Genomic DNA, 13,061 nt, shown 5'->3' on the forward strand with positions numbered 1-13,061 from the left:
AAGTAGAAGTGAATCATCATAAGGAGAGGCAGGAGAGGCAGGTACACTCAGTGTAAATTTTTTTTTTTTTTTTTTTTGAGACGGATTCTCACTCTGTTCTGTCACCCAGGCTGGAGTACAATGGTGCAATCTCGACTCACTGCAAGCTCCGCCTCCCGGGTTCACGCCATTCTCCTGCCTCAGCCTCCCGAGTAGCTGGGACTACAGGTGCCCACCACCACGCCCAGCTATTTTTTTTGTATTTTTAGTAGAGACGGGGTTTCACCGTGTTAGCCAGGATGGTCTTGATCTCCTGACCTTGTGATCCACCCATCTCGGTCTCCCAAAGTGCTGGGATTACAGGCATGAGCCACCACACCCGGCTGGTGTAATTTTATTGAAAAAAATCCATGCATAAGTGGACCTGTGCAGTTCAAACCCATGTTCAAAGATCCACTATATTGTCATGATTTTATGCAGTCAAACTTCATCTAGAGTTATCTACATATCTAGCCCTTCCATTGCTTGTCAATTCTTCCTGCATTTCTGTGCATCTTTCTGAGATAGTATTTCTTTTAGCACTTCTAAATGAAGTTTATGAGGAAGCTCCTTTTAATTTTGGTGCAAGTCATCTGATAGCAAATTCTCTGTTGTTGTTTGTCTGGAAATGTCTTTGAGGCCCCATTTTTAAAGGATATTTTCACTGGCTATAAACTATGCTGGCAATAATGTTATCCCAGCACTCTCAATATGTTATTCCATTGTCTTTTGGTTTACATCATTTCAGTTTCCTGTCTTAGTTTGTTTCTTTGATGATAAAGTGTCATTTTCATTCTAACTACTTTTAAAATTCTCTTTGTCTTTGGCCTTCAGCAATTTTACTCTCATGTGCTAAGGTGTGTTTTTCGTCTGTATTTATTCAGCTTGGAGTTCCTAGTGATTCATGAATCTGTAGTTTGACCTTTTTACCAGGTTTTTAAAAAATGTTTAGCTATTATCTTCTTAAAAGTGACTTCTGTCTTGTTGTCTTTTTTCTACCCTTCTTGGACTCCAATTGCATGTAAGAAAGATCTTTTCACCATTTTCATATGTATTTTATGGCTTTTTAAATTTCTATTCTTTTAACCTTTATGCTTCAATTTGTATATTTTCTATGAATCCATCTTTCAGGTCATTAAACTTTTCTTTAGCTGTATCTAATTTGATATTAAAATCACTGCCTGTATTCTTAATTTCAATTATTATATTTTTAATGTCTAATATTTTCATGTGATTCTTTTTTAAAGATTGATTTCTCTAGTGAAAATGTTCAACTTGTCATCTATTTTCTTGAATATATTAATCTCAATTTTTAAAGTCTATGTCTGATTATTCTAATACTCAGATCACCTGTGGGCCTGTTTGTATTATATATATTTTTTCTCTTGGTATGCCTGATAATTTTTTTTTTTTTTAAGACAGGGCCTCACTCTGTCACTCAGGCTGGAGTGTAGTGGTGCAATCTCAGCTTACTGCAACCTCTGCTTCCCAGTTTCAAGCGATTCTTGTGCCTCAGCCTCCCAAGTAGCTGGGATTACAGGCATGTGCCACCACGCGCAGCTAATTTTTGTATTTTTCATAGAGATGGGGTTTTGTCATGTTGTCCAAGCTGGTCTTGAACTCGTGGCCTCAAGTGATCCACCTGCCTTGGCCTCCCAAAGTTCTGGGATTACAGGCATGAGCCACCGTGCCCGGCCAATAACTTTTTATTGAGTATTGAAAACTTTTGTATAAAAAATTTTAGAAGCTCCAGATGATGTTATTTTCCTCCAAAGATAGGATTTTCTTTAGCTTCTGACAGGCTGTTATAATAGAAGTGCATAGAATCAGCTCAAACAGGAGCTGAACTGATTCAATAATGAGTTTTAATCTTTGTAATGTCTGGCCCATTTCCAGCTCACCTTTATTCCTAGGGTGTAGGCTGACATGAGTCTTACCTGAAAGCCAATTCGACTATTTCAGGAAAAAATAGAGGCACGTATTAGAGAAGCAGCATGACTGTGGGAATATAGGAGTATATCTGGGAACTTAGGAGCCATAAGAACCAGGGAGCTGAGCACCCCAGGACTCTCTCTCCTCATTTGGAATGCCTCTTTTCCTCTGATTTCTGACTTTACCTTCTCAGACCGTTGTGGCTCGGAACATGGTCACCAGCAGTTACCAAGAGCACATTTCTAAGATCCTCTACCACAGAAGGACAAAGACCTGATCCCTCTCTGTCAAAAATTTCAAGACAGAGCAGTGATCCGGTCACTTTGTGTCAATCACTATAGCCAAGTAGGAAGAACCCCAGGGAACACAGATGACTGAGTCATAGCCACAAGGCTGGTGTGGAGAAAGGAACATTTCTCAAAAGAGTGAGGAGGATAGATAGAGTTGGGTGCAAAACTATAGCTATCTAGTGCAGCAGGGCACTGAGGTTTGATATTCCCCAGAAATGTGCTGCTGCTCTTAAAATGAATGAAAGTGCTCCCTTTAGTTAATACGCTGTGAGTACTGAAGGGTTTCCCCAAGCTCCTAGCGGACAGAAACTTCCTGCTGTATCTCCTGTGATAATAATCATAATAATAATAGCAAAGACTTGGAACCAACCCGAATGTCCAACAATGATAGACTGGATTAAGAAAATGTGGCACATATACACCATGGAAAGCTATGCAGCCATAAAAAATGATGAGTTCATGTCCTTTGTAGGGACATGGATGAAACTGGAAACCATCATTCTCAGCAAACTATCACAAGGACAAAAAACCAAACACCACATGTTCTCACTCATAGGTGGGAATTGAACAATAAGAACACATGAACACAGGAAGGGGAACATCACACACCGGGGCCTGTTGTGGGGTGGGGGTGGGGGGAGGGATAGCATTAGGAGATATACCTAATGTTGAAGGATGAGTTAATGGGTGCAGCACACCAACATGGCACATGCATATATATGTAACAAACCTGCACGTTGTGCAAATGTACCCTAAAACTTAAAGTATAATAAAATAATAATAATAATAATAATAATAATAATAATAATAATAATAACTGCTATCTACTAAGCAGTCCAGTCCTGGGTCAGGAAGCCTTTACACATCTCTCATAAGAACATCTCCCATCTGTCTGCAAAGCAGGTATAACTATGCCCATTTTCAGAAGAGTAGCCAGATTATACCCTGAGGCTTACGAAATTACGAATAAAAATCAAAAGTGAATATTTTAGTGTACAAAAAGAAATCACACATATTTCATATTTTAAAAAGCTGACAGGTACCACAAACATCATGAAAGCTATAAAATTTACATAATATTTTTAATTAAAATATTGCCTAGCATTCCTCTATAATACTTTTATCCCTCTATTTTTGGCCACATACTCTTTGATCATCTTTTCATATGACAAAGATGTGATATTATTTCCTATGGAAAGAATAGAAAGGTAATTCAGTCTTTTCTTTAGCATGGTTGAATTTTTTTTTTTTATTGAGAGTTGAGATGCAAAAACAGGCAAATTCACACAAAAATATACTAGCTGTTTGTAGTTCTGTTATTGGTTTGTGCTCTACAAACAAAAAGTTAATAAATGATTTTTTTACATGGTTCCCATTGAAAGAAGAAAAAAAGAATGGCGACTTTATAATTTCATAGGCTGAATTACTGGGCATGTTTCTGAGAAGAAAGAACTTCTATTTTAATTATATATCTACAGAAACCAAATTGCCTGCTTACAGTTTTACATGTCTGATGATTGGAAGTTTTTGTTTGTTTGTTTGTTTGTTTGTTTGTTTCCACAGACTAGCCTCTGACTCCATATATTTCAAACTTTGTTCCTCTTCCACTACCCACATATTTCTGATGTGAGACATTCTAGAAAAATTTCATATTGCAAGACGGCTTCTAGGAATACCCTGTCTTGGACAGTGGGATTATTGAAGGGAAAGCAGGAGTATTTAAGCAGAAGTGGGAGTGTTACTGGAAGCCATTCCTACCCTGGAAAGTCAACTACACAGGCCGGGCATGGTGGCTCACGCCTGTAATCCCAGCACTTTGGGAGACTGAGGTGGCTGGATCACCTGAGGTCAGGAGTTTGAGACCAGCCTGGCCAACGACGTCTCTACTAAAAATACAAAAATTAGCTGGACGTGGTGGCATGCACCTGTAGTCCCAGCTACTCGGGAGGCTGAGGCAGGAGGATCGCTTGAACCTGGGAGGTGGAGGTTGCAGTGAGCTGAGATCGCGCCACTGCACTCCAGCCTGGTGACAGAGTGAGATATCGTCAAAAAAAAAAAAAAAAAAAGAAAGAAAAGAAAAAGGCAACTACCCAGATATATTTAACTAAACTCGGATCAGAGGTAGCCCAACTCATCTTCACCTTGGCCTGATTCCAAAAATGATTATGGCAAAGTATTAAAGAGGAAATCACGTGGAAAGGGACAGTAGTCTTGACCAATTGGGACTAAAATATCTTGCTTTTACAAATTTTGCCAAAACATGTGACCAAGTGAACACATTGTCCGCCCTCTTCCCGGGCTTTGGAGGAAACCTGCACAAAGGGAGGGGCCCTGAGCCCTAAGCTTCGTTAGCTTCATGATCAATACATCATTTCCACGTTCAGACGAGGAAACAAAGTCTGAGGGAGATGAAGTCATTTGCTCAAGGCCATGCAGCTAATAAATGATGAGGCCGGTAAGTGGAAAACATGGTCTCTGAAAAACAGCAGAGGTCAAGATGAATGGATTCCCTTCTGTCAGCCTCCTCACCCCTCTGTTGGGCCTTGGAGCAATAAAGACACAAGAGATATTAAGGAGTTGGCATGAGGTCTGACTAAGAGCGAGTGTCCTTGCAGCAACCAGAACCCAGTGTGCCTGATTCCACCCCAACAAGCATCCTCTGTCTAGGTGTTAACATAAATTAGTGGTCTTTGACGGAATCCAAGGGCTTCCCTGGGGGATCCACCAGAGCCAATGTGGAGAGTCAAAGCTCTGGAATTCAAGCCCAAGCCTTGTTTATGATCTTTCCTCCTCCCTGGGGAGACTGTGCTATCTGCTATCTCTTATGCCAGAGCTTCTCCTTTTCCTGAAGGGAAGGTCCCTGACTCCTGGAAAGGTGGACAGGTGCAGGATGTAAGAACCTCTCCGTGTGACCTTGGTGGATGATTCTGGAATTGCTATAATAGGAAGTAGAATATTGAACAAAGTAGGACATGTATCCTCTTGCATACAGAAGATTTGGGCTTTCATCTCTTTAAAAGCAAAAATACAGGGAAATGTTGGAGCAAGTATGGTCACTTTCCTTCCTCAACTCTTCATTGACTCTGTGTTTGAAAATTGGGCCTCATATATCCATCCCACCATGCCTAAAGGGTGAGCAAGATTCCAGGACAGAATCTCCAAGAGCTTCTTACTCAGTGATCATTGGAGACAGACATGCAATGCACCGTGTAGTGTTAACACGCAGGAGGTTAAGTGCAAGCTCTCAGGCCCTTTGATGTATTAAACACCAAGGACTTTAACGTAATAGAACTGTAAACCTCAAATCAGAGCTAATCACACTAATTTGCTGAACTCCAAAACCAAACCAAAATGTTCATTTCTTCTTAAACTAAACCACAGATCCAAGTTGTTTTGATCTACAAATCTATCTAACAAAAGATTTGAGGTGGCTTACAAAAAACTACATGCAATAAAACAAAACTCTAACTAGATAAAAACCAGGATCAGGGGAAAAAAATCAAAAGAATCAAAACCAGAGGGAATATTACAACATAGATATGCAAGACCTATGTAGTAATTTAAGTTGAATCGATGAGTTCCTGAGCCCCCTGGCAGCCAAAGCAATATGGAAGACATATTGGTTACATGACATACATTATTCATAAAGAGAAATAATTTTTAAACAGTCTTTAACTGGTTTAAAATGAAGCTAAATCTCTTCCCATAGTAGGAAAGAAAGATAACAAAATATTCTCTGAATCACACTTAAAGTACTTCATTTGCTTCAAGATCCTGTTTAATACACATAATGGTTTCAAACACATGAATTTATTTACCATTTAGTTTCCATTTCTATTGGCTTTCAAACCTTGCTTAAAGATATTAATATAATTTCCATAAACCCAGTGGGTCCAGATTTTCCTTTTTCGCATACTTGCCTGAAACTATCTCAAGCTCTTGCTGTATTGGTTTTGTACACGACCTCATTGTTTTAGCAATTAAAGGATAAAACTTGCACGCGTGTCTCCAGGGAGATGAGAATTCAAGAGGTTAAGTGTCGGCCTTGCACTGCTGAGTGTGGTTCCTAATCCCCAGAGAGCTCCCCTAAACTGTTTGGATAAACTGAGGAAATGTCAGGGGGAGTTCTGACACTGAGCATGACATTAATCTTCGTAACCATTCCTCCAGATGTGCACAAATGTTCCAAGGATGCTGAATATCCAAGCTCACCACAGCAGCCCACTCTTCTAGGCAGTGGGGGTGGGGAGAGTGGGGCGGGGGGATCAGGAGGGATGGAGGAGGTTGGGGGTGGGGCAGCCATTTCTGTTCTCTTTCCTAAGTATTCTCATGGCTTAAAAAGATCTGTGTGCTTACACTTGCAGAGATGAACATTAACATTATTTCAAGTGACCATGAGAAAACGCTCAGTACCTCCGTTTCATGTAACAATATTTGCAAGTCATACAGCTATAGTTATAGCTATAGCTCTACCTAGATTGGGTGCATATATACTCAAGTGTCAATAATATTCATAAATATTTATTTAAAATAACACCCAATCTCTCTGGGTGGAGGAAATTTTACTATTCATACTTTTCCAAGTTTTCTACAACTAACATACATTGTTTTACAATGACCAAAAAATGACCAAAAAAAATAGTTTTTTCTTTTATACCTTAAATGTAGTCATTTTAGAATATCCAAAGGGTCTCACATCTATTTGTAGCAGGAAACTCTCTGTACATCCAAGATGTATGTATCATTTTTTTTCCTAGTGACCCTATGAGGCTGTGGCTAATATTTACGTGGCGATATACACACTACAGGCCAGGCATCCTTTAAAGGTTTTTAAACAGCCCCACCCTTAAGAGACATTGGAACTGGTTCTCAGATTGTACACTTGCTCTTATTGCTTCTGGGGGGCTCAGATCAGTTTGCAAATACTGTTGAATTTAAAAAGGAGTTTTAGTACCCACTGTGTAATTTGTCCTCACCCCATCTGTCGACTGCAGAAACAAATTAGCTTCTCTCCACATGGTCTGCCGCTCCCCTGTTCCTTCCCCACCCCCCATCCCCAGCTGCAGTCCCTTTCCAAGAATCCAAGACTTGGGAAGAAAAGCTGAGTGCAAAAAAGAACTTTTCTTGCCAAGACAATAAGCAGTGCGGGCAGCATATGTCTGCACGTACATGTGTGTGCATGGTGCACATGCGTAAGTGTGTTTACAAGTGTCTGTGTGTATGGACACTTCTGCAGGTAACCAGTGCACAGTCCTCCAGCTCAAGGCATCAGATGAGGTCACATTTCTGCTAAGAGCCAAATTATAGCATCTCCTGCTTACTGTAAAAAAGTCATTTCTCCCCAGTGGCCCTTCTGTGATGATCAAGTTGTCCAGGGCCTACTTGGACCAGGACATAAGGCCTGGTTACTATCTTCTGGAAGAGAAAACTGGGAAGTCTGATGGTGTCCTTGGCTGCAGCCACATGACGTTTCTGGATAAAACAGGGAGCTTACCACTCAGAAGCAAGGTTTCTCTCACCCCATGTGGGGTGCGGCAGAGAAACAGGCGGTGTGTGGGGTTTTGTCTGCTACAGTGGTGACTTCAGCAGCTTAGACCCCTTGAGTCAGCATTTCTCAGTGTAGAATGGGACAGGAAGTCCCGTGGTTCTAGTGGTGTGCTCAATAGGCCTCTGTGCCAAAGGAGGCGATGCCAGGTGCTGGACCCACAAGGCTGGGTTCAGCATTGGCACACTGGCGGCCTCACCTACCCACAGTGTTGAGCTTGGGTTCCTGAGCCAGACCTCCTTTCCGGCTGGACAGGGTGAGGGAGCGTTTGGTCAAGTGCTGTCCGTCATCAGAGGCCTTCTCACAACTTTGAACCTCAAAGATGAGTGTTGGGGTCTCAGTCCCATTCCTTCCAGAAGTCCTCTGGGCCTGTATGCAGATAGCCTCACCTTCCTCCCAGTAACCATCAAGCCCCATGAAGTAGGAAGGAGTAGCAGGGGAAATGGAGTCCACTAAAAGGCCGAAGCCCTCGGCTCTGATGAAAACAAATACCTACCCGCTTCTAAATTCGAACCCAGACAGTGAATGTCTGCTTGTCTGATGCCCACATAATTAGAAAAACAATTCAAGTGCTTTTGGCTTAAACACAAAAGACCTTTTATGCTAGGAACAGAACTGGATGACACTTTTAAAAATGACAGTTTTTGCTTTTAAAAAATAATAAAATAGAACAATAAAAATAAACCCTGCATCAGTAATAACCCCAGTACATGTGTATGTGAATATATGCCTATAATAATACTTATCACTTAACGAGTGCTATATATGTAGCAGGCACTGAGCCAAGCACTCCACAGGCAACACATTCTTTTATTCTCCAAACAACCCAGTGAGTTAAAAAAAATTTAAAACTATTCTTAGCCCTACACAGCAAATGATGAAACAGAGGCGTAAAGAGGTTAAAATAATCTGTCCAAGGTTGCCCAGCCCAAAAGTTGTATTAAAGGCAACAGGCAAATCCAGGTTATCTGCTTATCTGACTTCAAAGTCTTCATTGTGTGCATGATTTTTTAAACCGATGAACTTCAATTAATAATGTTTACTTTTTAGAATAGTTTTAGATTTATGGATAAATGGTACATAGTACAGAGAGTTCTTGTCTATCACCTCTTCTCCCGCCAACACCTGCGCAGCCTCCCCTTTTAACATCACACATTAATGCTGTTCATTTGTTACAATTAGTAAACCAATGTTGACACTATATGATTGACTAAAGCTCATAGTTTATATTATTAACTAAAGCTCATAGTTTACTCAGACTTCCTTAGTTTTTACCTAACGTTCTCTTTCTGTTCCAGGACCCTATGCAGGTCATCATATCGCATTTCATCATCAACATTTCGTCGTTATGTCTCCTCAGGTTCCTCTTGGCTGTGATAGTTTCCCCCAGACTTTCTTTACTTCTGATGACCTTGACAGTTTGGTAAGTTCTGGTCAGGCACTTTGTAGGATGCCCCTCTATTGGTATTTGCCTGATATTTTTCTGGTAATTTGACTGGGGTTTTTGAGAAAAAGATCACAGAGGTAAAGTGCCACTTTCATCACGTCTTATTAAGAGTACATGCTGTCAGTGTGATTGGTGATGCTGATATTGACCTTGGTCACCTGACTGAAGCAGTGCTTTGGTGTAATTTTGAGACCCAGGCCGAAGTAACTTAGTGGGGGGCAGAGTGTGTTGGTCTTTGCTCAGGATCCTACAAAGCCTTCCAGTCAGCTTCATGGTGGTTCCCTAAGCAGCATCCACCCCTACACCACGGGCCACCAACACCACTCCCTCCACAGGGCTCCAAGCAGCAGGACCAGGTCCACTGTCTCCATAACTGGGATTAAGGAGGATCTTCCCTGTCTGACCCTCGAGTCCCCTCTCATGATTCTCTTTTTTTCCCTTAATTACCACAGACATTCCAGGCTAGACATTCAGGTTAAGAAGGCAGTGATGAGGTCTTCCACTGTTCTTTATTCCAGAACCTAAGGACTGTCACTGAACTCCAGGCAGGTTGCCTGGGCTGGGGCCTAGAACTGCTTTACCTCCATATGGCCACTTTTATTATTTTGTGCTAATTAAAACATCTGATGGGCAGGTACAGGCATCTCTGGTGGTGACTACAACCTAGAAATGTGAAGACACTTTCACCTAATATGCGTACCAGGTTGGAAAGATGAAGTCCTGAAACCAGGTGGTGCTTGGCTTTGAGAAGGTGGGCTCTGTTTCTCAGGAATCATACACTGGCAGCCCAAGGGTCCTCAGATCAAATCCAGCCCATAGGTAGGTTGTTACTTTTTTTTTTTTTTTTTTTTGAGACAGAGTCTCTCTTTGTACTCTAGGTGGGAGTGCAGTGACGGGATCTCGGCTCACTGCAACCTCCACCTTCTGCGTTCAAGTGATTCTCCTGTCTCAGCCTCCCAAGTGGCTGGGACCACAGGTGCACACCACCATGCCTGGCTAATTTTTGTATTTTTAGTAGAGACGGGGTTTCACCATATTGGTCAGGCTGGTCTCGAACTCCTGACCTCAGGTGATCCACCCACCTTGGCATCCCAAGATGCTGGGATTACAAGTGGGAGCCACCACACCCAGCCTATCCTTTTTTTTTTTTTAATTAATAGATTTGATTTTTTGGAGCAGTTTTAGGTTCACAGCAAAATGGAGAGGCAGGTACAGAGATTTTCCTTATTCCGCTGCCCCAACACACGCATATCCTCCCCCGTTATCAATGTCCCCACTAGAGGGTACATTAGTTACAACTGATGAATCTACCCTGACACTGATGTATCACCCAGAGACCATAGATTACATTAAGGCTCACTCTTGGTGTTGGACATTGTATGGGTCTGGACAGATATACAGTGACATGTATTCCCTATTACACTATCATGTGGAGGCATTTCACTTCCCTAAAGGTCCTTTGTGCTCCACATATTCATCCCTCCTTCCCTCCCTTTAATTCCTGGCAGCCAGTAATCTTTTTACCGTCTCCAGAGTTTTGCCTTTTCCTGAATGTCATTCCCTTGGAATCATACCGTATGTAGCCTTTTCAAATTGGCTTCTTTCACTTAGTAATATGCATTTAAGTTTCCTCCCTATCTTTTCATGGCTTGATAGCTCTTTTTTTTTTTTTTAGCACTGAATAATATTTCATTGTCTGGATGTACCACAGTTTATGTATCCACTCACCTATTGAAGGGCATCTGGTTGCTTCTACGTTTTGGCAGTTATGAACAAAGCTGCTGTAAACATGCAGGCTTTTGTGAGGACGTTAGTTTGGATCTGCTTTGAGTAAATACCAAGGAGTGCAATTGTTGGATCGTATGGTAAGAGTATGTTTGGTTTGTAAGAAGCTGACAAACTGTCTTCCAAAGGGGCTGTACCATTTTGCATTTCCACCAGCCATGAATGAGACTTCCTGCTGCCGCACATCCTCGCCAACATTTGTTGTTGTCAGTGTTTTGGATTTTAGCCATTCGCATAGGCAGTTAGTGGTATCTCATTGTTGTTTAACTTGCAATTCCCTAATGACATATGATGTGGAACATCTTTTCGTATGCTTATTTGCCATCTGTATATTTTCTCTGGTGAGGTATCTGTTCGGATCTTTCCCCATTTTTTAATTGGTTGTTCATTTTCTTATTGTTGAGTTGTATGAGTTCTCTGTATAGTTTGGATTAATAATCTGATATCTTTATCAGATATATCTTTTGCAAATATTTCCTCCTAGTCTGTAGTTTTTCCATTCTCTTGATGTTACTAATTTTTAAAGTTTTGAATTCGTTGCCAATATTTAAAAGTTAGAAAATTTCCTATGAAAATCTGATTTCTAACTTTTCCTTAAAACCTCAAAGATCTGACAACACGGGCTGCACCTTCCTGCATGGCAGCACTTGGCTGGAAGGGTCATGGCTACAGCCTGTATAAGGTGCATGCTCTCTGCTGTGCCTCTTTCCCTACTGCTTCAAGTCATTGAGCTCAGTGTCACTTCCCTTGCTTGGCCTTTCCTTACACTGGGCCCTCTTAATTCATTTATGTCACTGTCAGGCTTCTGGAAGCATTTGAATTTGAGTGTTATGTCTTCTTGTTTCAGATGTCAAGTATATTCATTGTCACAAACACAAAATCCTTGAGAGGGAAAATAAGTCAACTTGCTTATTCAGCATTTACCAGGCTCCAGGCACCTAATATGTTGGATATATTCAATTCCCACATCGCCCTTCACAAAGGAGGCATTATTACTTCCGTTCTATACCCGAGGAAACAGGCTCAGAGAGGGGAAGTCATATCTTCAAGGTCACACACCTAGGAAGTGGTGGAACAAGGATTTATATCCAATTCCGACTCCCAAACCCCTGTTGATTCCTCTAAGCCAAGTGGTTTCCCTGGAAGGCAGGCAACCTGGATTTTCCCAATGGAAGAGCTTTGACCCAAAATCAGGGTGCCCCCTGCCAGCCAGTGCTTTCTGTGGCTTGGTTGCTCATCACCATCTTCTGGAAACCATCACCTGGGCTTCACCCTCCACCCAGGGCTCCGATAAGAGTTGTCATATTAGTACAATGTGACCCGACCTCTTGAACCTGCTCTTTGGCATACAATGAGCAAGTGACCCACACCAGGCCAATTCCAATTGTTCCCCATGGATCTGACATTTGGAACTGAACTGGTAGTTGCTGGAACTACTGAGCCTGGTTGTTGTTGGAGGTGAATCCCATAAAGGGCGATGCTATAAGGAAAAGGTTCTGTGAACCCCAAGCATGGAAGACCTGTGGCCACTGGGGTCCTTCTTTTCTGTGACTCATTGTTCTGTGCGTCTTTGAATTCTATGAGAGCTCTTGAATACCCTTCCCAACAACAATTATTTTTAGAAAATCTACTTACAACCAAAATCATGTAACTCATTCACCTCACCATCAAATCATCTATGAATCAGGCTCTTAGATATAGGAATCAAGATGAAACAGGCCAAGGACACTAAAAGGATGACCTAGAAACAGGCTTATTGTCACCCACTCTGTTATGTTATTGGAGCAGCACCTTCTCTTCTGTTTTCAGCTTCCCTGGGGATTTTCTATTTAGACTGATAAGGGGGTGAAGTTGGGAATCCTGAGCCCTAATATTGACAGTGGCCATGATCTTATTGTGACAAGGGAAAAAAGGCCAGCCCTAAGAAGAAGAGGCAAAGATATGATATATAGAGAAAGACTCTTTGCAGTGCTTGAGGCCGTCCCTGTGTTTGATGATAGGTGCTCATCAGTTCCCCCTTTGCCTGAACCTACGTTTTCTCACT

The sequence above is a fragment of the Homo sapiens genome, chromosome 5, assembly GCF_000001405.40.
Source record: "Homo sapiens chromosome 5, GRCh38.p14 Primary Assembly".
Classification (NCBI taxonomy): Eukaryota; Metazoa; Chordata; class Mammalia; order Primates; family Hominidae; genus Homo; species Homo sapiens.